The sequence below is a fragment of the Homo sapiens genome, chromosome 13 (assembly GCF_000001405.40).
Source record: "Homo sapiens chromosome 13, GRCh38.p14 Primary Assembly".
NCBI lineage: Eukaryota > Metazoa > Chordata > Mammalia > Primates > Hominidae > Homo > Homo sapiens.
In genome coordinates, this window is record NC_000013.11 from 98470855 (window position 1) to 98495663 (window position 24809).

The following is a 24809-nucleotide window of genomic DNA, read 5'->3' on the forward strand; positions in this document are numbered from 1 at the left end:
AAGAAGAAAACCAGGGATAACCCTAAATCACAGCTGTAATCAATCAAAACAAAATCTCATTTGATATAAGCTTATTACTTAAGCAGATGCGATCATTAGGAACACACTTGTAACTGGCATCTAGAGGCGTATGTGATGTTTATGACCATTAAGAGCAACACAAGGTTGACCAAAGTGGCCCAACATTACTCATGCAAAAATAAAGCCTGCTGTCTCCTGGTTCACATTCTTCCCTGGCCCTCAGGGCTCATCCTCCCAGCCAGGCCTGTGGACAATTCCTGAGCCGTAGGCAGGAGCAGGGAGTCCATGGGCTCAGTGACCAGTGACAGGAAGGGCTGGTACGCAGTGCAGTAGACAGGCTGGCTGCCTGGGTTCTGGCAGCCCATCGGCTCATCCCACCACGCTTTCACTCATCTTCAACAATGCTATTTTTTTCCATCAATGCATCACCAGTTTCCACTTTTCACCATGGTTACACTTCAAACCAAGCACAATCCATTCGCTAACATACCATCGTAATGATCTTACAAGGAAAAAGGGAGATGAGAGTTCTTCAGCCCAAGACCTTTCTCTAGTGTTGAAACCGGAGGCTTCTTCGCAGTGAGCAGAGGTATCTCCCTTAGCACCATCTCCAAAGGATGGGGACTCCTTCAAACAAACCAAACTTCCCCAAATCACCTTAAAACAGTAGTAGTGAAGGTTCTTACGACATATGGGCAATCAGGACTTAGTAATGTCATGCTTAGGTTAAGACTGACATAAGATTCTCTTTGTATGCAAAGACATTCAGCAACACCTGAGCAGCCCAGACAAGATAAGGGGGCACAGCTACTGCCAGAGGTGACAATGCTCAAAAAGGTTCCAAACATATACAGGAAATGGAGGTTTGTATTCCCTTTAGTTCAGTGAGATGAAGAAGCTAGTGAGGCAGGTGAAGTCCATCACTTCTCCCAACCCACCCTTCCTTTGACAATCTGCGTGTGAACCTAGGTGTGACTTGGGCACGTGCCTTCATAACTACCATACAGAACCCTGTCCCCAATAGCTGGAAGGTCTTTCCTTACCTGCAGTGCACAGACTAGGAGGGGAAATGTCTACAAGTCATGCAAGAGAGAATGGAGGGAAAGCTGGGAAGCAGCTGAGTGAGCCATGAGACCAGAGCGGCCTCCAGTGTACCCTGAAGAGCACTGGCTGCCTGGCAGGCAAGCCAGCCACTGGAGGGACACACACAGGGCAGCCAGGAAGAGCGCCCTTATCAGGCCCTGCTTGCGACAAGAGCTGCCAGTCCAGAGCCACGCCCAGTGGGAAACAAAGGAAATCTCAGCCCTAAGGCCCCAGCGTGAAACCCCACTTCTGAGAACTTTGAGACGCAGACACAGACGTGACCCTCATCGGCCCTCACCACACGCCTCCCGGGTCCACAAACCTGGAAAGTCAATTTCACATCAACATAAGAGTTTGCTCATGATTTCCAGTTCAGAGTTGGAACTGGAACTCTGAAGGGAGGACTTGCCCTTCAAGGAAGGTGGGTGCGGATGGCTCAGGCAGACAGGACAGCTCTCGAATAAAGGTTCTCATGTGAGCAGTGATGGTGCAACCAAGAGCGGAAGATCTTCACATGGCCCTGTCTCCTTTTTTCCACGGCACTTTGCATGATCTGAAACTGCTTATTTATTGTTTCTTCTACTTCAGGAGAGGAGGGAGTGTGCTGTCGTGATCACAGTTGTATTCACAGTGCAGTTGCTCAGTACAAATTTGTGAATGAATGGCACCAGCTTGATTTTCTTCCTTTGAAGGCACTTAATTTTTTAATAAGTTTGTAATACAACTTTTTTCCTCTGGAAAAGGTTCTGACATATGTAATCATCTCTATTCATTCATTTTGCTTGGTACCAGGCAACCTCTTTGACTTATGGGTTCACATCATTCTTGACCTTGGGTAAGTTTTAAATCTTTAAACATTCTTCTATTTATTCTGGAGTTTTCTTTCAAAACACCAATTAAAGCTGTGCACTGATGCTTTCAAAACTCTTTTAAACCTCTCTCAGCTTGCATCTCAACTAGAACGCCATCCTGCCAGGGCCCAACCCTGAAATGGCCGCACACTGAGGTGCCCATGCCTTCTGCCCCGCCACTCTCTAGGGATATTTGTCACCTAAGGCAGGTAACTCACTGAAAATGGTGACTACAACACAGCACGCTTGCTCCTAAAGTGCTGTTAATTCTTCCTGTTTACTGTCAGTCTCCCCCATATGAATTTAAGACATACAGGAGAAGAGACTTTTGTTCTTGTCTACTCCAGTATTACTGGAATCCAGAAAAATGTGCCTACACAGAATGGGTTAAATGAAAGAATCAATATGAAATAAATACAATAATGAAAGAGAGAGAAAGAGAGAAGGAAGGGGAGGAAGGAAAGGGGAAAGGAAGGAGGGAGAGAGGGAAATCTAAAATCAGAGTCCTCAGTCACATGGTAGATCAGCTAATTTACTACAAAGAATGAGAAGAGAATAATCGAGGTGGTGTCATCCAATGAGTTAAGAAACATGGGTTCTAGTCTCAGCCTTGCCAAAATCTACACAGATGAACTTTGATAAATGGGGTCAGCTTAAAATAAAGAGAATGGACTAAACATGTAAGTTCCTGGTCGAGTCCCAAAATTACATGACCCCAGGAAAAGGGTCAACAGCCAAAGTGACTGCAGATGAGAAGCAGCCAAGGCAGTGTCCCTCCCACGTGGGGTAGAGACACTCCCAGGCAAGGGCACACACCCAAGACCAGCCAGGTCTGCTGTGTGGGTATGTGGGGGGTGGGGGAACCCATCAGTCACTCACCAGCCAGAGGCTGTCAAGGCCATCATAGTGCTCAGAAAAGTCACAGCCACCGCTACCACTCAACAGTGAGACGGGCTCACTCCTCCCAAGGTGGAACCAGGTACGCCTGCAACTTGAGCTACAACCTGGACGCTTTCTAACAGTCTATAGCTTGCAACGGTGACCTGGGTCTGCAGGGAAAGTCACCTGGTGCTTCCTGTACTATGTTTAACAAGGTGGGAAGTTTACTGGGTACTGGGAAGATTTCTGTTTAAAAGCAGCAGCAAGGTTCGGCCTATATGCATATCTGAGTTAGGTATTTGTTTGCTCAGAAACTTGGAGCCCAGGAAAGCCAATTCTCCGTGGATCATGTGGCCTTTTAACTGTGTACAGGGTCCTAAGAAGAGCAGACTGTGCGAACTGAAGTTAAACCAGAGCCCTAGGAGGCAAAGTCCCGGGATTTTTTGTCCCATCTAACAGAGTTCACAAAAGTGGAGGGCAACAGAGAAAAAGAATATGAGAAAAATTAGGAGAGTGTCCCTAACACAGGACAAGTAAAAAACAGTGGGAAGAAAGGGTTAGGGTTTCATCACATGTTGACAAGGACAGGCTGGGAACGAGAATCCTCAGAACTAAAAATAATAGGAAGACCCTGCAGCAGTCACTCAAAGCACTGTTCTTCCTCCATTCTCACGCTTCCGTGGACTCCCTTTCTCTTGTGGGAGCCCCTTTCTCTACAGGCCCCTTCAAGGTTGCCGATTCCACGCACTTGCACTTCGACCCCCAGCTGTGCCCAGACAGCAGGTGGAGCCCCTCTGCAACCGCACACGCCTCCACCCCTCACCACCATGGCCCTTCAGTTCCTCCCACCCCCCTCCAAACCCGCTCCATCCTGTGTCCCCGCTGCCACCAAACAAACATAGCCTGAGTTAAAAACCTCGATCATGGTGGGCTGGATCAGCACAGGGTATTAAATGATACAGCAGGAGACAGAGGAGAAAACTGTTCATAACCAAGGTTGAAGAATTACCTTTATGACCTACCTCAAGGTACCAGCTTCGTTCCAACTTAGAAAAGCTACCAGGCTAAAGAACAAAAGGCGGGAGCCCTCCAGGCCTCGTGAGGCACGGCGCCGCCCTCACCCTCCCCTCACCTTCGAGTCATAGGCCGACTGTTTGATGACCTCGGGTGCCATCCAGAATGGGGTGCCCACGAAGGTGTTCCTTTTGATCTGGGTGTCTGTCAGCTGGCCAGCCACGCCAAAGTCCGCCAGCTTCACCTCGCCATGCTCAGACAGCAGGACGTTGGCCGCTGCAAAAGAAAGCCAAGGCGGCCCTGGGCGGTGCGGACTTACAACTCCGTGCACTGCCACAAGCGCGTCTTCTCCCTGGCTGGGTGGCGAACCCACCGAGCACAGGCACCGGGGCTACACTTTTTGTCAGACCCCCTCAAAGCCAGCCCAGCCCAGGCAAGGCAAACGTGCAGGACAAATGGGCGCCAGCACCTTCCCTTGAGAAGTCTTCAGGGCAACCCCACCACCACCTTCAGTATTTCAAAGGAATGAAAACGGATGTCCTCTTACCTTTAATGTCTCTGTGGATTTTCTTCTCCGAATGGAGATAATCGAGTCCTTTCAGTATTTCTCTTAATATAGTAGCGATCTGGGTTTCATCTAATGGGCCAGGTTCTAACTAAGAAGAGAAAAAAATTCTTAAAGTTACTTAAATGATTATCTTATGAAAAGTTTGAGATAAAACAGAAACACTATCCATGTTAATGGACAAGGGTAATTAAAACCTGAAATCTTCTTCACTTAAAACACATGATTTTGCCCTAACAATTACAGTCCACTGAGGGACCCTTAAAAAAACAAAGGGCCCGAGAAAATGGCTTTGCTCAATGAAGCCAAGCCAGCAGAGAAGCAAAGAGGAGCCAATGAGGAAGCCCGCAGCCCCGCCTGCGCCTGCAGCTGACCACAGGGCGACCCCCTGGCCATGGCAGGGGCGGGGCGCAGGCTGAGCCAATGAGGAAGCCCACGACCCGGCCTGCGCCTGCAGCTGACCTCAGGGTGCCCCTCTGGCCATGGCAGGGGCGGGGTACAGGCTGGGGATTTCACTCCAGGAAACGAACAGCCAAGAGACAGAGCAGCCAGGATCTGTCCTAACATATGTGGTTCCCTTACCAGAAGGCTCACCCCTGGTACCCAAAAACACCCAGGAAAGAAGGCCTAGGAGCCAGGCGCCTCTGAGGATATCCTTGTATTAGAATTTTTTAAATCTGCAGTTAAAGCTCCCCAACTTGGGGGAATGCAGCTGAAAGAGCTTAAATCCTAATAGTTTGGGATTTGTTATATAATAGATATTATATAATAATAATAACTATTATATTATCCCTAAGATAATAATTACCTCTGAAAGCTTTTATTCTCAGAAACTCAAAATAATTGTTCCTATTGACTCCTTTATATCCACAACTATATCAGATGAAAGGAAGAAATGTCAGGTATCCACATCTCCATTTAAAAGGAAAGGAAAACCAGGCTAACAAAGGCTCACTTCAAACCAGACGGGAAGCCCCCCCCCGCCCCCTGCAGAGTGGGGCAGTCAGTCACAAACAGTAATTCCACAGATGACAGCAGCAAAGCCACCAGTGCTCCCCGGAACCACAGAAACGGAGCCAGACAGAGGGCAGATGTCTAATCGATGCAGGTAGGGTTCCCCCAAATCATGGTCCCCCATTCTTGGTTTTCAGACTTGACAGTGAATGTCTTCACAGCCCACACCCACACATTTTAGCCAACAGGAAGATACAATCTGGGGCCTTTCACTTAGTTTTAAAAAGATAAGAAATGTGCTTTAAGCCAAAGGGGATGAAAACTAGGGCGCTCCTCCACAGGAAGCATCCGACTCAGGCGTGCACATCTCTGGGACAGAGCCCGACAGTCCTTGCGTGCCTCAGCTCCTTCACATCCTGTTCCACATCCGGAAGTACTTGTGGGGTGCAGTGTGGGGGCAACCGAGACAGCCCTTGTCACCGAAACCACAGCCTGACTCATACCTGGCCCTGCTTTCCGGCCCATGGGTGAGCTGTGCTGCCTTGGCTCGCAGGCCTGCCCTGGTCTACACAGCAATCCCAGGGTCAGGGCCACTCTCAGAGGTGGCCTCTCCTCACACACTGGCCTCGCTGGGACTCTGGCCTGCCTGGCAGCAGACACACCTGGAATCCAGCCACCCCTGGCCTTCTCCACCCAGGACCCAGGTGCAGAGAATGCACTTGTCGCTTTTAGTTTGACCGCACACATATGCTCAGAGAAGGTCAAAATGCCCATCTCCATCGCCTGCCAGAAATTGTCCCAAATTCCAATTAAGATATTGTCCAAAAGTTACCTCAGACTAAGGCATTACGCCACAGACTCTGTTCCCCAGAAAGTAGTTTTTTCCCAGTTACCTGAACAAAAGTCTTATTTATAAGAAATGCATATCAAAACTACTATTCTAAAGAACACAATCAGGAAAACTATGCCTTAAGTCAGCTTTCTCCACATCTATTTTTCAGTGTTCATAGAATGTAGAAATTTTAATTTTCAAAATGAGGAACACAGACTTTTCTCATCACCTGGGTGGACAGTGGGGAGGAGGATAGAGATGCCGGAGTGTTTGCTTTTGTTCATAATGCTGGAGTGCAGGAGAATCCAGTCGACCAAAGATCAAAGTCATGTTAGAGGCCAGGCGCGGTGGCTCATGCCTGTAATCCCAGCACTTTGGGAGGCCGAGGCGGGTGGATCACCTTGAGGTCGGGAGTTCGAGACCAGCCTGGCCAACATGGTGAAACCCCATCTCTACTAAAAACACAGAAAAATTAGCCGGGCATGATGGCACATGCTTGTAATCCCAGCTACTTGGGAGGCTGAGGCAGGAGAATCGCTTGAACCCAGGAGGCAGAGGTTGCAATGAGCCAAGATCGCACCATTGCACTCCAGCCTGGGTGACAGAGCAAGATTCCGTCTCAAAAAAAAAAAAAAAAAGTCACATTAGAGTCGGGTCCCATCTCCCATCTCCTCCTTCACCAAGTCTGTGCCCAAGCCGACGATCAATACCTGTGGTTAGATCTGGACTTAACCACCTCCCTTCCATTACCAAGTCTCCCAAAAGCAACGGCAGAGCGGCCTGCTGTCATTCCCAAAGGGCGCTAAGAGGAAGAGGTGAGGAACACTCATGGAAAATCCTCCCCTGGATAATTAAGGGCTGGCTCTGTGATGACTGTCTGCATGGTTCTGCCCTTTTAAATCTGCCCTGAACACCATCCATCATTGACTTATATGCCCATGGGGAACGAGGAGGAAGGGGAGAAAAAGAGATAAAACTCTCCTTACTTGGGGGGAAATCCTTTCTGCGTCAAAATTCACTATAAAGGGTATTCGGCTGCTGTCTACCCCCCAGAGTGCCTCATGAGCAGCTCGGACCAGGCCAAGCTCTCCAAGTCAGCAGCTGGTGTTCGCCATTGCGACCATGCTCTCCATCATTCAGGCACTTGCAGACTCTTCAAATAGGACCCAGGAAAAAAACCTAGACCACATCCCACCTCTGTGTGACTTCTAACTCCCCCTCCCCGAGCCTGTCCTCCCCTGCTTCGAAGCTCTGTAACAGGGACTATTGGCCGGGGCACTCAGCCACAACAAGAAACCACATTTCCCAGACTCTGAGCAGCAGCCTGTGGTCAGGTGACTAAGACCTCGCCAGTGGGTCAGACAGGAGCAAATGTGCCCCATGCCCCTGCTTGGTCTTGGCCCTGAAGCACTGGCAGTGGGAGAGGACAATGGCTGAAGACCAAGGGAAGCCTGGGGCTCCAGATGCTGAAGCCACCCACCAGCACAGACCGTGACGGTATGGACCAGAGCCACTGACCCCATGTGCAGGGGGAGAAATAAATTTCTATCTTTTGTGAGACACTGTTTTAGAGCTGCTATGATGGCAACTTGGCCTAAACATTAATGAATATGCCATCTCATTTCTTAAAACCCATGTCGTGTACTCATTTTTTAAGTCCGTCAAACATCTCTGCCTGATTAAGTGACTGGTTTATGTAGCATTGTCCCTTTGTAATTAGATTCCAAGGTTGTCCCTCGGATTCTCTGGCAACACTGGCTGATCTTTTAATCAGCTAAAACCTTCTGGTCTCAGGCCCTCTGTGGCTCATCCTCACTCCAGCTCCCCCATTCACCTCCCTCGCCTGCATTGTTTTCCTTGTAAGGAAGGAACCTTCTAACAAACGGTGTAATTGACAGACCTCCCCACCAGAACTCCCCAAGAGCAGGACTTTCCGCTGCTGTGTCCAACGGCAATAATCCCCAATGGCCAGAGCAGCCCCTGACACGCGGGAGGCACACAACTCTATGCTGAATGAAAAATGGTTTCCCTCCCCGGGCTACAAAGACAGACTGCATTTAAGTTAGGGTGTCTTGGACTGTGTGATACTTCTTATGCTCTTCTAAGTCAGGGCACCCTACAGGCAAGGCGGCTGGAACTTGAGAGATGACTGACTTGAGTAGTTTTCAAGCTATATTCCAAGAGCCCAGCGGCCTTGGGATCATATAGACACTTAATTTCCATTTACCATTTTATTTTAAATTTTTTTAAATCAACGGACTGAGCACACACTCAAATATGTGCATTCAAAATAAAATGTGTACCTATTTTCTATTTTATATTCATGGCTCTTAATAATACTGTCTCTAGTCTCCACCTGAAATCCCAAATTTGCATTTTTTAAAAGTTAAAAAGCACCTGGAGAGCGGAAAAGGTGGCTGCTAAGGGATGCACCCCTGCCAGCTGAGGGATGCCCATGCCCAACAGCAGACCTGGGCTCATCCCAGCCTTCAAGTCCTAAAGCCTCTCTGCTTCGTCCTTCGCTCTGATACGTGGGGCCCGAGATTTATGTATATGCCATGTTGTCTGCCACCCAATTTTTAACTTGGGGCAAAGTCACTTCCCCTCTCTAGGGTGCCCCAGGCATCTGTAAATTTCCAGATGGACTTCCAGTTCCCCTCAGCTCCGGGAGACCCTTGCACCTCGAGGGGGCCCGGTGCTGTGGATGTGGGAAAGAAGCAAAGACTGCAACAGCTCCCAGCCTACCTCCAAAACACCCCTTCCCAAGAAAGTGTGGCCTCTTTGAGGGGCTGAGAGCAGGCCAACAGAAAAGGGTAAAGATGGAGAAAGACAACAACATCAGAGGTTGGTAGAGGACACTGCGGGGTCAAGGGAGGCCACAGGCTCTGAGCTGGCAGAGCAAGGGTCAAGGCCCAGCCCTATCTGCTAGCTGGGACCCTTCAACCCTGAAGGTCTCCTAGCTGAGACCCCTCACCCGTGAGGGTCTCCATTCCTGCACCAATTAAATGAGACGATTAGGGGCATTCAAAAAGGAATGTCTGTCCCTTGTCACCAGCACTCCTTAAGCAGAAGTGAAAAACAGTTTGCTGGAAGTCTCACACTATGTGGGATTTTTTAAGTGGAGAGTTTTACCCTTCCTTCCAACTGTAATATCTAAAATTTCACAGACTGCAATTCAAAGAAATCTGAAGGTTATCACCAAATAAATTATTATATCATTAAATATGAACACGCTAAAGCATTCCTGGAATTGCTCTTCTGAAGGACTTAATGTTGGAAAAAGAATCCCTGTAAACAACTTCGTATATGCTACAAATGAAATTCACTTAGATAATAGTAAATCTAATTACATAAAATGAGGTAATTTTCTACATTTCTGTAGTATTTCCCAACAGGGTGAAAAAATGAAAAGCTCTTTATGTGTACATTTATGGAAAGGAACCAAAATAAGTTGTAAAAGTAATCCCACTACATTGCTGTTTTTCCCTTTTTAATATAATTTTATACCATATTAATTTTTCTTGAAATCTCCCTTTTTAATACCATTTTTATCAATTATTTTTATGGTTTATAATAATATTTGATTATGTAAATTGGGTACGTTAGCCTTCTGCAGATACATATAGTTTCAGAAGTTTATCTTCCCAAAACAAACTATCAATTGCTATTATTACTGTGAGAAAAAAGTTTCATTTTATTCTAGAATTAAATTTTTTACAGAGATAGGATTTTGCTATGTGGCCCAGGCCAGTCCTGAACTTCTGGGCTCAAGTGATCCTCCCACTTCAGTCTCCCAAAAGTGAACAGACTGTAAGCGTGAACCACTGTACCAGGCCTAAGAAGTTTCCTCTCAAAGGGGTTTCCTTTCCTTAATGAGTAATACCCGTGTAGACTATGCTAAAGTAACACAGCTAACTTCAGCTCTCCCTGCAACCACAGCCCTGTCATCCTGATGGCCGCCTATCATCCAGGACCCAACCTCTAACACTGCAATGACAGATCTGGCCTATCTTGAAAATCACCACTCACCTAAATGACCTGCACTTACAGAAGGGGTGGGGAAAGAGTGATCACAGTGACTTCGCTGCACAGCCACAGCGGGGATGAGACAGCAAGTGCTAAACAGCTGCACGAATTCGTTTGCATTTACTATGTTTCAAGGATGACTTCAGCTGTGCTCATGACATATGCTGGTTATCTGTAAGCACTGCATCAAAACCCAATAGGAAGCCATGTTTTACACAAGCAAATCACAGACCAGGACGGTACAGCCACCCTCCACCTGGCTTCCACTACCTTACATGTGGACTGGAGGCCACAGAAGGCACTTGAGGGAGAGTTCAGAGGAGACATCTGGTGCGGGCCAGCCCCACCTCCACACCCTGGGAGCGCTGGCAAGCAGGGAAGTGTGTGTTCCCCTTAGGCATGACCACTGCTCCCACATCCGACATCCGACCTTCATAATCACACCCTGCCCCTTACTTCCAAAATTACAATATTACATGCTTATTTTGGAAACTAAGTTGTCATGTGAAATATGAAACGATGAGATAACAGCCCTACAAAAGTAAATAGAACCTGTTTCAGAAAATAAGCTACCCAGCTGTTCTCAGTTGAGATAATTCCAGGCATGATCCTTCCTTGCTTCCTTCTATGAATACATTTATTGGTTTCCCATGAAACAAAACAGCTGGTTTCAAAAGCAGACAGACAGGCATGAGCCACCGCACCTGGCCTATAATCCCAGCACTTTGGGAGGCTGAGAGCGGGGATCACTCGAGGTCAGGAGTTTGAGACCAGCTTGGCCAACATGGCAAAACCCTATTTCTACCCAAAAACAACAACAACAACAACAACCACAAAATTGGCCAGGTGTGGTGGCATGCACCTGTAGTCCCAGTTACTTGGAAGGCTGAGGCACAAAAATCGCTTGTACCCAGGAAGTAGAGGTAGCAGTGAGCTGAGATTGCGCCACTGCACTTCAGCCTGGGTAACAGGGCAAGACTCTATCTCAAAAAAAAAAAAAAAGGTAAACCAATAATTTTTAGTGATATATAAGAAGCAAAAAAACACGTAAGGAATAGTTTGGTTCCTTTTTTAATGCAACTTGAAAGAAAGAAAAAGAAATGGATACATGCAATGGATTCTTTAAAACCCAGGTTTCCTGAGAAAAAGCTTTGATACGTATTCTGCATCCAACATAATACTTACTAGATCTAGTGCGGAGCCTCCACCAAGATATTCCATTATTATCCATAATTTTGTATCCTATAAAACAAAAAAAAGAAGAGAATCATTTTCAAAATGAATCCAGGAAAATTTTTTTTAATAATCAAAGGGTATTTTTCACAATTATATTGGAACTAGAAAGTTTTACAAACATGTACCAGCACGGGAAGTGTGTCAAAGTGAGAGCTGTGCAGGGACCTCCAGAGTGCAGGGACACCCCCATCATGCTCTGGGAGGGAGCTGTGGGGTGTGCTCGGGGGCCCGCACCTGACTCCCCAGGGCTCCAGGGCATGCGTTCCACCGACTGCCCCAGGATCTCAGAAAGCAGACTGGGTGTTTCCATTTTTAGGCCACTTCACTGGGGGATCCTCAGGCACAGTGAGAGCTGAGAACTTGCAGCCACTTGAGGCAGTGGTGTCACACACATCGGGAGAGCAGTGCCAAGGCAAGACCCTCTCCTCTTCCTCCCTCCTGCAGCACTGAGCCTCCCCTGCGCCCCCCACCCCCTACCGTGTGTCTCCAGGTCCCTGTGAGTGGAGGGGCCGCCTAGCGTGGCCTCCGACTCACTTGCCTGTTTGGCAGAAGGGCAGCCAATTCTAGCACCTCCCAAAGCTGCCACAGTCTCCCCTCAGGGAGCTTTCCAGAAAAGCAGGTCTGTCCTAACATGCATGTCTGTGTCCTCTCAAGGCCCCGGCTCTCACAGTCCCCAGCTCTGCGCCTGCCTTCCCTGTGGTCTCTCTTCAAGCTACTCAGCCCTCATGACTTGCAGAGTTCTCTTTTTAAAACCACAAATCCCAAAGTGCTACTCCCTGGAAAACAAGCCCGCAAACCTGTCCGCCCTCCTTGGGGAGCCAGGCAGTGCAGGGCACGGGGCAGCCTGGGCAGGGTCTGGATCCCGACTCCCACTTCACGACCTAGGGGCCCGGGCAGCTGTCTCCTGAGCTTCTGCACGAGGCCTTGGCCAAGAGCCTGGCCACGGCGAGCAGCCAAGAACCCATGGCTGGCACGGGACGCCACCGCCAGAGTTTGGGTTCACAGTGGGTTCACGGGGTTCAGACGTCAGCCTGCTCCGCTGCTGACTCAGGACTCGGTGGTGGCTTTTGCACACATGGAGGAAAAAAAAAGAAGAAACCTTTTTTAAGGCTCTTTGGTCCCTTTGGGAGAGCACTGAGTCCGGCTCTTAGAACACCCAAGGAAGACCCCTCAGTTCGCCCCTGACTCCAGGTCTCACTGCGCTGACTCCAAGTGAGCTCACCCTTTGAGAACACGCCCCAACTTCCCAGGCCTTTTTGCTTTTGGAGGTTCCGCAAGTCAGGAAAATGCTTCACTTGTCTTCCCTCCCCACGCCCTGGGCAAACTTTACTTTTATTATCTATTGCTCTGATTTTCATTTCAGGTTTACTTCTCTGCATTTTCCACTTAACAGCAAACTCAAGTGCTCAGGGACAGCGCTGGTGTGCTCGAGCTCAGTAAATGTTAACTGTGGACCCTGTGACCAAGGAAGAGTAACTCGTGTTGACTCTAGGGAGGCGCTAACGGTAAGATGCACTGCATTTATAAAATACATTCCTCTCACAATTCAAACTAAATCCTGCCATCTGGAGTTGATTCTAAGACAGTCCAAATAAACAGCCCAAGTTTTAATGTATGTTGAATGCTTTTCAAGCGTTTAAATGCCCTTGACTGCTAAGATAATAAAGACAACTTCAGTCTTGACCGGACAAGTGCGGAAACCTCGAATGATGTGTCTGACACCCAACTCAGAGGGACAGGCATGTCGCTCATTCAATAACCATCCAGTCACGGGCACCTGCCTTGAGGAGGCTTGGTGATCCCAGGTTCTGATTTCAGGGAAGCTTCCATCATCAAGAGTGTCCTTCAGCACACCTTCATCTCACACACACGCTCGCCTGCAGGCTTCCACAATGCTTGCTCCTGGGGAATGGGTATGCCACAGTAAGCTCTTCCAGGAAAACACCAGTATCTTTCTAGATGGCAAAGGAAATCTAAATCGCTTTTCCCTAAGAGAGCTGGGAACTCTGACGTTTCTACTCCCACTCCCTTTTTAACAGCTGCTGTTTAACTGGTTTCACTGGCTCCCATCCCTTCTATTTTCTGGGCATTAAGTCTGCTCACAGCAAGGGGAGCTCCCAGCAGGGAGGTAATCTCCCCGCCTCTTCTCCCACTGTAGCCAGCTGTGCAATATGACACCCTGGGAAACAATCTTTTGCTGACTTAGGGGACTGAGGGTCACCAGGCAGCTTCCTGGAGCAGCAAGGCACAAGTGACCACCCCCTCGTCCTTCTGCACTTCCAAAGCTCCGCCCTCCTCAGTTCGCTGCTCTCTCAATCTGACCACGAAGGTACGTCACCACTTGCCAAGCAAACAAGATAAGTTTCACCTGGCTACCTTCTCCTTTTAAGGAGCCCTAGCAAGACACCTCAACCAAGTTTTCTGTGTCGCCCTGATCCTTCTGGGGACGTGCAAGCAACAACAGAACATCCAGAGCTCTCTACCCAGAGCAAACCCCGCCTCAGGACCAAGGCCGCCTCCTTCCTGGAGAGGAAGATGGAGAAATAACACAGCCTTCCCGCTTCCCTCCAACTCATTCCTGGTAGCAGACGCGCTGGGTGGCAAGGCTACCCAGACACAAGGCTCACCAGAGGGCACTCAGGAAACCAGCTCAAGTCCTTATTGAGGTCACTGCGTCTCAAATACCCGGGCTGGGCCTGTGACTCACACACCAGCACCAACAACCAGGGGGTGGGATATTGCATCAGGAAAAGCTCCACTCTGGGTGGAACCTGCTTTTCAACCTCATTGGGTGTGTCACCGCCCAGTGGGTTCACCTTGCCCGCTGCCTAGACAGAGCCGACTCATCAAGACAGGGGAACTGCAGTTGAGAAAGAGTAATTCACGCAGAGCCAGCTGTGCAGGAGACCAGAGTTTTATTATTACTGAAATCAGTCTCTCCGAGCATTCGGGGAGAATTTTTAAGGATAAGCTGGTGGGGTAGGGGAAGCCAGTGAGCCAGAAGTGCTGATTGGTAAGAGATGAAATCACGGGGAATCAAAGCTGTCTTCTTGTGCTCAGTCAGTTCCTGGGTGGGGGCCACAAGATCAGATGAACCAGTTTATTGATCTGAGTGGGGCCAGCTGATCCATCAAGTGCAGGGCCTGCAAAATATCTCAGGCACTGATCTTAGGAGCAGTTTAGAGAGGCTCAGAATCTTGTAGCCCCAAGCTGCCTGACTCCTAAGCCATAATTTCTAATCTTGTGGCTAATGTTAGTCCTACAAAAGCAATCTAGTCCCCAGGCAAGAAGGAGGTCTGCTTTGGCAAAGGGCTGTTACCGCCTTTGTTTAAACTGTAAGTTTCTCCCAAAGTTAAGTCAGCCTGTGCCCAGGAATGAACAAGGACAGCTTGGAGGTTAGAAAGATGGAGTCAGTTAAGTTCGATCTCTTTAGTCTCAGTCATCATTTTGCGAAGGCGGTTTCAGGTTTGCAAGCATTCCAGCCGCTGAAGGTCGGCCCGGGGGACCGGATGGAGCCCGCTAGACACAGGCAGCAGCTGCACCACCGCCTGGCACTTCTGGGGCTCTCTTCCTGTGCTCTATGCACCAGCCATTAATGGAGGAGGACCCTAACACCCAACGCCAGCCACTAAGACAGCAGCTTTCCCCTCCTTCCCACAGAAATGGGAGGAAGCGGAAGAGGAGCAGGGACAGGAACACATGGACTCGGGGAGGGGAACATCACACACTGGGGCCTGTCGGAGGGTGGTGGGCTAGGGGAGGGACAGCATTAGGAGAAATACCCAATGTAGATGACGGTTTGATGGGTGCGGCAAACCACCATGGCACATCTATACCTATGTAATAAACCTGCACGTTCTGCACATGTACCCCAGAACTTAAAAGTATTAAAAAAAAAAAAAAGAAAGAAAAAGGGGACAGAGTGAAGGCCGGGTCTCAGTCTTCTGGTGCCCATACATGTGGGCCGCACTCGCGCCACACCCCTGCAGCACTGCACTGGGAAGGTAGGACAACAGACAGTCAACATGGGCGCCAGAAGAGGGCCCTGAAATGTGCCTCCAATGAGATCCCAAAGAATCGTTTCTACCACTACCAATCCTAAGGAAGAAACCTTCAAAGGTGAACACACGGATAAGCTTGGGAAAGCAAGAGACAAGCTTTGGGGGCTGCAGGCAAGGCTCTCCTTCACAGCCACACCAGGGATCCTCCACCCCAGCACTGACTTTTGGAGCTGCTCAGCTCTGCTGCAGGCCTCCCCCATGCACTGCAGGGTGTTCAGCAGCACCCCTGGCTCTGTCCACTAGATGCCGGTGACACACCCCAGGTTCTGATAACTGAAAATGTCTCCAAACATCGTCAGTGTCCCCCAGAGGGCAAAATCACCCAACAGAGAACCGCTGAACTACACCCACGATGGACGCTGACAAATCTGACATGGTTCCTGACCAGAAGCACCGTTCAGCCATTCTTCCTCGTCTTGGCTTACACACTGAAACTCCTGCAGCAGGAAGACCAGCTCTTACCAGGAGACATCAGGCAAGTCATTTAAACCCTCTAAATTCTTCATCCACAACAAGATGGGAATCAGATCGGTGCTTCCAACCTCACAGTTCCAAGTGACAATTAAATGAGATCATGAGTGGGAAAGCACTTGGCAAAATTCATGGTGCTCAACAGATGCAAAGTGCTATCAGCTTTATCAACATCATCACCCAGAAATGCCTCTGAATAACCTGGTAAAACCAAAAGGGCCCAATTAACAATTCTAAGTAGTTTCTAAGCAAAATGAAGCCTGGTACAATGATTCACGTATTCTGCACCAGAGGCCTCATGGCAGGAGCGTCTGAGTGGCAGCCTGTTCTCCGGGAAGGACCCAGCTCTGTCCTGCAGATGTGGAACCACTGTCCTCATAAAACCTTCCAAACCATGACTTCTGAGGCACTCATTCCCCAAGAAAAATAAACCAGCAGGCTTCTCAACACAATGATGACTTTAATCGAAATAATTTCATGTTTTTTCAACAACCTCAAATAACCTAAGTTATGAATGACCTCGTGATACAATTTTCTCATCAGGGAAATAAAAGTATTCATTTAATTAATAAATTCTGGAGTGAAAATTTAAAAGGTGCCAAAGTATATACAGTGAGAAGTCTCCCTCCCACCCTGGGCCCCCATTACCCAGCAAACCAACCGTCCCTGCCCCAGCAAGTCATCACGACATCTAATGTAACCTCAGAGAAAAATAGTTATGCACATACGAGCAAATACCTACAAAACTTTACCCCCCTTTTACCCAAACGGTGGCATTCTACACACACTGTTGTTTACCTTGCTTTTTACCTAAAGTTTCTTAAAGAGCAGTCCATATGTAAAGGACTTCCTCATTTTTTTAACCATAATTAGCCCATGCCTTATTGAGCTCACATTGTTTCCATTTTTCGCTCTGACGGCCCAGGTGTCAAGGAAGAGCTGTACATTTGTCAGTTTTGCTGGGTCCTGGAAGCAGACCTGCTGGGTGAAGGGACTCCATCTGAATTTTTAACAGATACTGACAAGTGACCCTCCAAAGAGGCTGTCCCATATATGGCCTCAGCAGTGTCTGAGGGTGCTAATTTCCCCCTTTCCCATGCCACAGTGTCATCAAGTTTTATTTTATTATTATTTTTTGGTCATTTTTATGGACTGAATTGTGCTTCCCTCTCCCACACACCCACGATTCACATGTTGGAGTCCCAATTCCCAACACTGCAGAATGTGACTCTTTAAAGAGGTGACTGAGTTGCAATGAGCTCATTAGGGTGGGCCCTGATCCAATACGGCTGGTGTCATAAAAAGAGATGAAGACACACACACACACACACACACACACACACACACACACACACACACGGGAAGACCACATGAGCACACAGGGAGAAGACGGTCATCCACAAGCCAAGGGGAGAGGCCTCCCAAGAAACCACCCTACCAACATCTTTCCAGGTTTATTAGCAAACGAATTCCTGCTGAAGGCTCCCAGTCTGCGCTACTTCGTTCTGGCAGCCCCAGCAAATTAAGCCAGTTATTCATTCATACACAAAGGATGCTTCAGGGGAGTTTTATTTATCTTTCTCCTATTGTAAGGCTGAACATCTTTATATATTGAAGAGTCATGCATATTTTCTTTCCTGTGAGCTGTGTATATCCTTTGTCCATTTTTCTATTGGGTTACTGACCTTTTTTTTAAAGTAGGAGTTTTTAACATATTGGGAAAGTTCGCCTTCTGTAATAGGAGCTGCAAACACTAGCTTTTGCTTCTGGTAATTTTTGCTTACAGAAATTAATTTAATATAGACATACTATCAATAACCATAGCACTTCCAGGCAAACTTGCCCCAAAGTATTTGGAAGTGCCTCCTAAGAACCCGGAATCATTGACCGGAACCAGGGCCCCCACATTAACAACTCTCACAGGAGCTTGGCAGAGGTCACACGAACCCACCAAGGTTAAAAAAAAAGACAAACGAGAAAGGGCAGATGCTACACAGCTAACAGTGAAGATTTTAAAACAGGAATTCGAAACTGCAACTCTGCTCTGCACCTGAAATGCCCTTGGCAGCCTCCACATTTCACCAGCTGTAACCAAAGGCCAAGACCAAGAGGTATAAACAATGCAGCGGGCTTTATTAAAATCACACGGGGTCACAGACTTCCTTAAGAGCGTGAGTTTTTGTAAAAGGTACCTTTCCGCGCAGATGACGCATGTGGCCTCAAAGCCTTAAGGCCTGGTTTGCATCCAGGCTCAGGCCAGCTCTGATGGCAACTACAACAAGGCCTCGCCTATGAGCCTCCACTTCCCATTGCCCCCGGGACTAATGTGCATGCTCCTCAGAGGGGCTTCGATGATGATGAAGTGAGGCCGTGTACACAGCAAGACTCATCAACTTGAACCACTATTACTGTGTTAACTCCACAGTGTCCTCTGTCTGAACTGCAGGCTTGCGAACCCGGAAGAAATCCAAGCCTGTTGCCTATTTTACCTTCAGAGCAGCCCCTGACCATCTTCAAAGTGCAGGAACCATTCCTGAGCTGGAAAAGCTTATGTGGTTGTTCCTCAGGCTCACAGACGCTAGGATTTCTTAACTGATTCATCTAACACATAACATACCTACTAGGTACCCAGGGTGGCTGAGGGGGAACGCAGAGTGAGTAACACCCTGGCTCTGGCTTTCAGGAACTTCTAATGACAGAAAAGTGGGCAAATAATTAGCATCAGACAGCCAGTGGCAGATGCCACAAAAGACAGGGAACACCTGGTTGCTCACGAAGGTCCGTCTAACCTCCAGGAGGGAGGCGGCACCTGAGCTGCTCCCTGAAGGGCTGTGACCTGCCAGCCTGGGGCAGGGGGTGTGTTTCTCACAGGCTCAGGTGGAGAAGAGGAGGAAAAATCCTGTTCGCAGAGGGCAGCTAGGAATGAGAGGGACACCCTTGAAGCCAGCTGATGGTGTTCAAAGTTAATTTAATAAGCAATGGGAAGTCAGCGAAACTTGTGCTAATAGAACAAATGACCAGCCACTGCCTACAACAACAAATACATGAGGAGAAAAGGAAAGTAAGAGCGAGGAGAAAAGCAAAGTAAAAGCAATGAGAAAATCAAAGCAGAAGGTCAGGGAAAGGCCCAAAACGGTTCTAGAAGTGGCACTGATGAGCACCCACAGTGGACAGGCATGGAAAGAAGAGAAGCCAGAAGCCAAGATGGTGTCCTCCTCTGCACCCAAGACAGCCAGCTCTGCCAGGACAAACAGCAACAGCAGGTAGGTAGGGGAGGGAGTGGAGATGGGTGCCTGCATTTCTGTGACATTGAGGAAACACTCTGGTGGGATATTCAGCAAGCCAGCTGCTTCCTTTGCTGGCTCCTGTGTGCACAGATATAAACCTTTTTCTCTCATTAATATGTCACTTATCAGTTTAATCTGCAGGCCCCAAATGCTGAACCTAACCTAGAGAAAAAGAGTTTTTCCTTCCTGACAAGTGAACTATTGCCAAATTTTTAACTCAAAGGGCATGTTGATCATATGCAAGCCACCCTAGGTAAATAAAGTCCAGCCCTATCACTTATTATCTTTAGTTAATAAGAGGACCCTATATTCACCGGAAAACATTACATCCTGTGGGTCACTCTTCCCATGTACTACCCTAGTTCCAAACTGCATTTTGAACTCTTACATTATCTCAGCAACACAATTAAAGGGGTGGGGGCAGGACATACAATACTAAGTTGGACTAACGTCCAGGGTCAAAGCTTCCACGTGATGAATGTGGAGTAAAGGCGCCGGCCTTCCATTCTCCCAGGTGATCATTATTAGAAAAGAACCAGCCAGCAGTGACAGCTTCCAGTGTTGGAGAAAACCCGGATTGGACAATGTGGAAGGAAGGCCTCATCCTCCCTTGTGTTCGCAAACAAAAACGTCCAACTTAGGCACACAGCAGCTCAACGTCTCCAACCCACTCCCATAGGGAAGGCAGCCTACATTAAAAAAAAAAAAAAAACAGAACACTGGAGTTTCTGTAGCAAATCATGTCACTACTGATTGCCTACTAACCTGAGGAGGCTTCCCACAGTGAAGGAGAGGCTAGATGGAGAATGAGAAGTGTTCTCTGGAGAAAACGAGAGAGAGCTGCAAAGATGCATGGGGACCAGCCCAGCACAGAAAGCCGGGGGAGCTGTCAGGCTAGGGTGGAGAGGGAAGCACTGGTTGTCCTTCCCTTTCAGATGCCAGGCACTGCGCTGGGTTTCTGGCGTACATCATGTCACCAGTCCTCACCACGTTCCCGTGAGCTGGGGGTACAGCTAGCCCCCTTACAGAAGAATGCAGAAGCCCACCGGACCTACACCCCTTCTCATCTCCCTGCGAGCAATGCCTTCTCTGCTGACCCTAAACTAATGTCCAAGTTCCCAACAGGTGGCTTAGTCACTATTTTTAGGTATGAGCATGGGGTAGGGGGAGATCACTGCTGATTAGGAAAAGGAGCGGGGAGGGAGACCCCAGGCTTCGCTCTTCCAGAGGGCCCCAAATGCAGGAAGAAGTGCTTCAAAGCAAGGAACGTTTTCTTGTGCTGGCAACAAACGTTCACTGGGAGAAAGGCCGCTGTAACATCAACATCAACTTAAACATAGGGGTGCACGATAAAACCTGAAATAACACAAAGAGGAACAAAACGAAGCAACTGAAAATTACTGGATCACATCCTCACATCAAAGAAAAAAATCTAAACCATCACTACAAGTTAGCTACAAATAATACTGGAAACACTGCAACACCAAAAGCTATACAATCCAGCCAAAGATTTATTTCAAGGAAACCCACAGCATTACAAACATTCATTACTAAGCCAAAAAAAAAAAAAAAATACTAAGTGTTCAATCCAAAAGTCTAAGAAGGAAAGCAAAGAATAGAATAAAGATACATGCATAAATAATCAAAAATATTGGGATGAGAAATGAATCCAATCATTTTTAAAATAGATAACTTCCAGTTACTATAACCAAGGAAAAAATAGATCACATATCCATTTGCAATAGAGCAATAAAAGGACAGGAAAAAATTTTTAATGCAAATAAAACACATGGCAAAATTTTACAATAGTAAATTTGAACATACAGAATTAGACAATTTCAATAATTTATTAATAAAATTTACTCAAGAAAGAATAAAAACTATAGGCAGAAAAGGGTGGGTGAAGAAATAGATCAATTCACCTCCTTTAAAGTGCGTGCGCGTGTGTGTGTGTGTGTGTGTGTGTGTGTGTGTGTAAACAAATCAACAGATCGCAAGAGGCTCAAATGGTTTTGCCCTTGAATAATTCCAAAACGTGAAGGAACTGGTAATTTTAGCAACTCCTTCAGGGCACAGTATTTTTTAAGGGCATCACAACATAATGCCAAAATCAAGGAGGAAGAGGAGGAGGAAGAGGTTCCTATTAAGGAAGGATGAGAACTCCTAGAAAGTGGGAGGGTGCAGTTCTATGTGTGAAGAGCGAAGCCCTTTCTGCGATAGGAAGCTGTAGTCTAGTGAGAGGGGCTGGCCCAAAGAGGGCCCTTTCTAGGGGAGGAAAAAAGGGTGCTTTTGGAAATGAGTATGTGATGTATGAGAGTCTCCGGGTATTTAAATCTTTTTCAGCTCTTTTTCTCGAATACCACCGGCCCACCCCTAGCAATCCTCAGGATTTGCTCCGCACAGCCCACCCCCAGGTGGGCAGGATGCAGGCTTTTCAAGAGGCTTGAGCTGGGAAAGCAGGAAAGCCTCATTCTCCTTCACACAGGGTGGCCACAGGCTTCCTTAGGAAGAAAACAACCCCACAATTTTTCTCTCCCTGGTCAAGAAGGGAGGATCCATACCACCATCTTATATTAGTACCATGGGGCAGCAACTCATACTGTACTAAATACTTCATGAAGAGAACTCCACTGGATTCTCCCAATCATCCTGTCTCCCCTTAGGTAATCAGCCTCTTCCCATTTTACAGATTAAGATGCCTGCACATGGCAAGGAAGGAGAGAAACTGGGACTCAAATCCAGATTTCCTGACATTGCATCAGATGCCTAAATAAGAACCACAAGAAAAAAAAATTCACAGACTATTAATTTCTAAAGGATTCCAGTAAGAAAAATACTTTGACTGTTCTTAACATTTAATTTTTAACTGATTTCCTTTTAGAAGCCAATGAACTCTAATCTGACTGTCCAAAAAGTACATCAATTTATGAAAACAATTGCCTGTAATTTGAAAGGTTTACGTGCCTCATTCCATCATGCAAGGTTTAAGAACTCCTGATCCCCTTTAATAAACTGGAAAGAACACTGGGCATTCCCTAAAACATTCTTCTTGGGATTTATGTCACAGACCATCTCTTTTGGAAAGGGTTGCGTGTGTGCGTGTGCTCGCGTCCAATATGTACAGAGATGTTCCTCTTTTCCATAAACACAAACTTGACACATTAAATCTGCTAATGGGAAGTTTCTGTGCTTAAATTCTAGCAGATACTAAGAGGAATAAAAACATTCTGCTTAAACTTAAGGATGCTTACAAAGCAATCAGGGAAATACAACTACAAATAACCTAAATCTGAGGGAAAAGAAAAGAAACAACAAAGAGAAGCAGGAAAAAGTACCCTGGGAGGCAAGAGAGAGATTTTTTCTTTCCTCCCCATCCATCTTCATTAAAGAGCAAACATCACAGTAAATGATCATCAACTGCCAAGTCAGATAAGTTCCATGCCATCATCTTGCTATGAAGCTAGTAACACGTGTTCTTTCTGCAAAAGTGGAGTATTTCTAATAATTACAATATTGTTCTGCTAGATGACAATCTTAATGTCAATATGTAACATGTTACAAATATCAATGAAAACCAAAAAAAGTGATTTTTTATGACTTAGCATTAATTCTTTCAAGACCCAGCCGAAAGAGACCAAACAAGACCAAGTCAGAAAGTATGTCTGAGAAAGAATAAAGACTTAACGGTATTCTGCAAAAAAAAAATTTTTTTTTTTTTTTTGAGAGGGAGTCTCACTGTGTTGCCCAGGCTGGAGTGGAGTGCAGTGGTGCGATCTTGGCTCACTGCAAGCTCCGCCTCCCGGGTTCACACCATTATCCTGCCTCAGCCTCCTGAGTAGCTGGGAATACAGGTGCCCGCCACCATGCCCGGGTAATTTTTTGTATTTTTAGTACAGACGGGGCTTCACCGTGTTAGCCAGGATGGTCTCGATCTCCTGACCTCGTGATCCGCCCGCCTCGGCCTCCCAAAGTGTAAAATTTTTAAGAAGTGCCTCGGCCGGGCACGGTGGCTCAAGCCTGTAATCCTAGCACTTTGGGAGGCCGAGGCGGGTGGATCACGAGGTCAGGAGATCGAGACCATCCTGGCTAACACGGTGAAACCCCGTCTCTACTAAAAATACAAAAATTAGCCGGGCGTAGTGGCGGGCACCTGTAGTCCCAGCTACTCAGGAGGCTGAGTGAGGCAGGAGAATGGCGTGGACCCGGGAGGCAGAGCTTGCAGTGAGCCGAGATTGCACCACTGCACTCCAGCCTGGGTGACAGAGCCAGACTCGTCTCAAAAAAAAAAAAAAAAGTGCCTCTAACAGTATTATAAGGAAAAATTATGGAATGAGCTGGTTCACAAACAGCAAATGCTGTATTTCAAATGCATGGGTGACAAATTCATATTTATATTTCCACTGCCATGTATGGGGTTTAACCCCAAGCTAAACAGCTTCCAAAGGAAGGGACTGTTCACTGTGGTTGTCTGTTCAACGCTTGATTGTCCTGAGGCATTTTTTTTCTAGTGTTGGAACCCTCTGGTTCTCTTCCCTCCTACCTTTTGCTACTTCATTTTTATTTTCTGCACAATTCTATTCCAGAAGGAACTGTCAGTTATGTAAATCAATGTGTTCTTGATTTATAATAAGTTTGTTAGCCGAGAGCTACTGAAACAGTCACACTGCACTAGGGTCAGACATGCAAATCCAAGGGCACCCGCACTGAGGCACCCCGGGGCACAAACACCCAGCTAAAGGCCCAGGAGAAGGGTCTGCGACCCATGGAGGGATGCAGAGACAGCTGCTCCTCGCCGCATCCAGCACAGAAGGAACCACCACCAACGCCTCGGTGAAGATGACCCTGTGGCAGCACATAAAACCCAGGCAACAGGATGGCGGGCTCCAAGAAACAGCCTCCCAGCTCCGTCTAGCACCCAGCAAACCAGGTCCGATGTCAGCAACAACCACGACAACTTGTTACTACCAGACAAGATTCAAGAAAGGGGCCTGGTTCCCGCAGCCCACTTTCCTTATTTTGAAGCAGGTGTCTTTACTTACTCAAATGCCTGGAAGTCATGCTGTCCTACAAGAACTGCTGAAGGAGAATTGATTTGCCTCCCTGGAAATAAGTCTCCTTTTATTACTTACCTGCAGTCCTTTATTCCATAATCTAATTAACATTTGTGATCTCTTGTATCATGCCACATTGTAGAAATTTACTCAGGAATATAGAAGTTTTAGAAAAGAAAGCATATGGCATAATTATTTTATTGAAATATATCAGATGTGTTTAGATACCCCAGACAAGAGGTTTAAATTTGCAGAATGTGCATATTGAGACAAAAAGAACTAAAAATGCCATTAATACTTATTTTAAATTATAGGTAACATTAGCCAGAAAACAGAGCTGAATTTCTTTTTGGAGAAGTAAAATATTTAGCCTAATTGGAATTTTAATTCCATTCAACTTTCTGGACAGAGAAAAACATAAAATGAAGCTGCCAAATGTCTTCGGGGGCTTTCTTCAGTTACACTAGGACAGTGTGTT

The 24809-nt window shown here is 47.1% G+C and overlaps 1 protein-coding gene across 3 annotated transcripts in view, besides 13 other annotated features; it reads right to left on the minus strand.

Annotated features, from left to right (window-relative positions):
- The window catches only part of STK24 (serine/threonine kinase 24), a 131923-nt gene that overhangs the window by 25670 nt on the left and 81444 nt on the right, over positions 1–24809 (minus strand). For 2 of the 3 annotated variants that reach the window (NM_001032296.4, NM_003576.5), the window contains exons 3-5: positions 11411–11467; positions 4396–4504; positions 3967–4124 (exon numbers count right to left, since the gene is read on the minus strand). In NM_001032296.4, the coding sequence (NP_001027467.2) occupies positions 3967–4124; positions 4396–4504; positions 11411–11467 (324 nt within the window). The remainder of the gene's footprint in view (positions 1–3966; positions 4125–4395; positions 4505–11410; positions 11468–24809) is intronic. The other variant, NM_001286649.2, reaches the window with a different exon arrangement.
- Positions 5304–6503: an enhancer, noted in NCBI's record as "P300/CBP strongly-dependent group 1 enhancer chr13:99128412-99129611 (GRCh37/hg19 assembly coordinates)". NCBI's record gives its function as "activates an origin of replication core promoter dependent on BRD2, BRD4, P300/CBP, MED14 and CDK7 cofactors, with strong dependence on P300/CBP, by STARR-seq in HCT116 cells {active_cell/tissue: HCT116}" and the evidence as "EXISTENCE:reporter gene assay evidence [ECO:0000049][PMID:35650434]".
- Positions 5304–6675: a biological region, named in NCBI's record as "P300/CBP strongly-dependent group 1 enhancer GRCh37_chr13:99128412-99129611".
- Positions 5545–5644: an enhancer, noted in NCBI's record as "active region_7901". NCBI's record gives its function as "activates an Ori minimal core promoter by ATAC-STARR-seq in GM12878 lymphoblastoid cells {active_cell/tissue: GM12878}" and the evidence as "EXISTENCE:reporter gene assay evidence [ECO:0000049][PMID:35858748]".
- Positions 5655–5804: an enhancer, noted in NCBI's record as "active region_7902". NCBI's record gives its function as "activates an Ori minimal core promoter by ATAC-STARR-seq in GM12878 lymphoblastoid cells {active_cell/tissue: GM12878}" and the evidence as "EXISTENCE:reporter gene assay evidence [ECO:0000049][PMID:35858748]".
- Positions 5955–6174: an enhancer, noted in NCBI's record as "active region_7903". NCBI's record gives its function as "activates an Ori minimal core promoter by ATAC-STARR-seq in GM12878 lymphoblastoid cells {active_cell/tissue: GM12878}" and the evidence as "EXISTENCE:reporter gene assay evidence [ECO:0000049][PMID:35858748]".
- Positions 6381–6675: an enhancer, noted in NCBI's record as "tiled region #10916; HepG2 Activating DNase matched - State 8:EnhW". NCBI's record gives its function as "activates a minimal TATA promoter and a strong SV40 promoter by Sharpr-MPRA in HepG2 cells {active_cell/tissue: HepG2}" and the evidence as "EXISTENCE:reporter gene assay evidence [ECO:0000049][PMID:27701403]".
- Positions 7339–7398: an enhancer, noted in NCBI's record as "active region_7904". NCBI's record gives its function as "activates an Ori minimal core promoter by ATAC-STARR-seq in GM12878 lymphoblastoid cells {active_cell/tissue: GM12878}" and the evidence as "EXISTENCE:reporter gene assay evidence [ECO:0000049][PMID:35858748]".
- Positions 10002–10502: an enhancer, noted in NCBI's record as "H3K4me1 hESC enhancer chr13:99133110-99133610 (GRCh37/hg19 assembly coordinates)". NCBI's record gives its function as "activates a minimal SCP1, AML or CMV promoter by ChIP-STARR-seq in naive H9 embryonic stem cells {active_cell/tissue: H9 hESC(naive)}" and the evidence as "EXISTENCE:reporter gene assay evidence [ECO:0000049][PMID:30033119]".
- Positions 11603–11792: an enhancer, noted in NCBI's record as "active region_7905". NCBI's record gives its function as "activates an Ori minimal core promoter by ATAC-STARR-seq in GM12878 lymphoblastoid cells {active_cell/tissue: GM12878}" and the evidence as "EXISTENCE:reporter gene assay evidence [ECO:0000049][PMID:35858748]".
- Positions 13486–14177: an enhancer, noted in NCBI's record as "H3K27ac-H3K4me1 hESC enhancer chr13:99136594-99137285 (GRCh37/hg19 assembly coordinates)". NCBI's record gives its function as "activates a minimal SCP1, AML or CMV promoter by ChIP-STARR-seq in primed H9 embryonic stem cells {active_cell/tissue: H9 hESC(primed)}" and the evidence as "EXISTENCE:reporter gene assay evidence [ECO:0000049][PMID:30033119]".
- Positions 13614–13783: an enhancer, noted in NCBI's record as "active region_7906". NCBI's record gives its function as "activates an Ori minimal core promoter by ATAC-STARR-seq in GM12878 lymphoblastoid cells {active_cell/tissue: GM12878}" and the evidence as "EXISTENCE:reporter gene assay evidence [ECO:0000049][PMID:35858748]".
- Positions 13844–13923: an enhancer, noted in NCBI's record as "active region_7907". NCBI's record gives its function as "activates an Ori minimal core promoter by ATAC-STARR-seq in GM12878 lymphoblastoid cells {active_cell/tissue: GM12878}" and the evidence as "EXISTENCE:reporter gene assay evidence [ECO:0000049][PMID:35858748]".
- Positions 14324–14403: an enhancer, noted in NCBI's record as "active region_7908". NCBI's record gives its function as "activates an Ori minimal core promoter by ATAC-STARR-seq in GM12878 lymphoblastoid cells {active_cell/tissue: GM12878}" and the evidence as "EXISTENCE:reporter gene assay evidence [ECO:0000049][PMID:35858748]".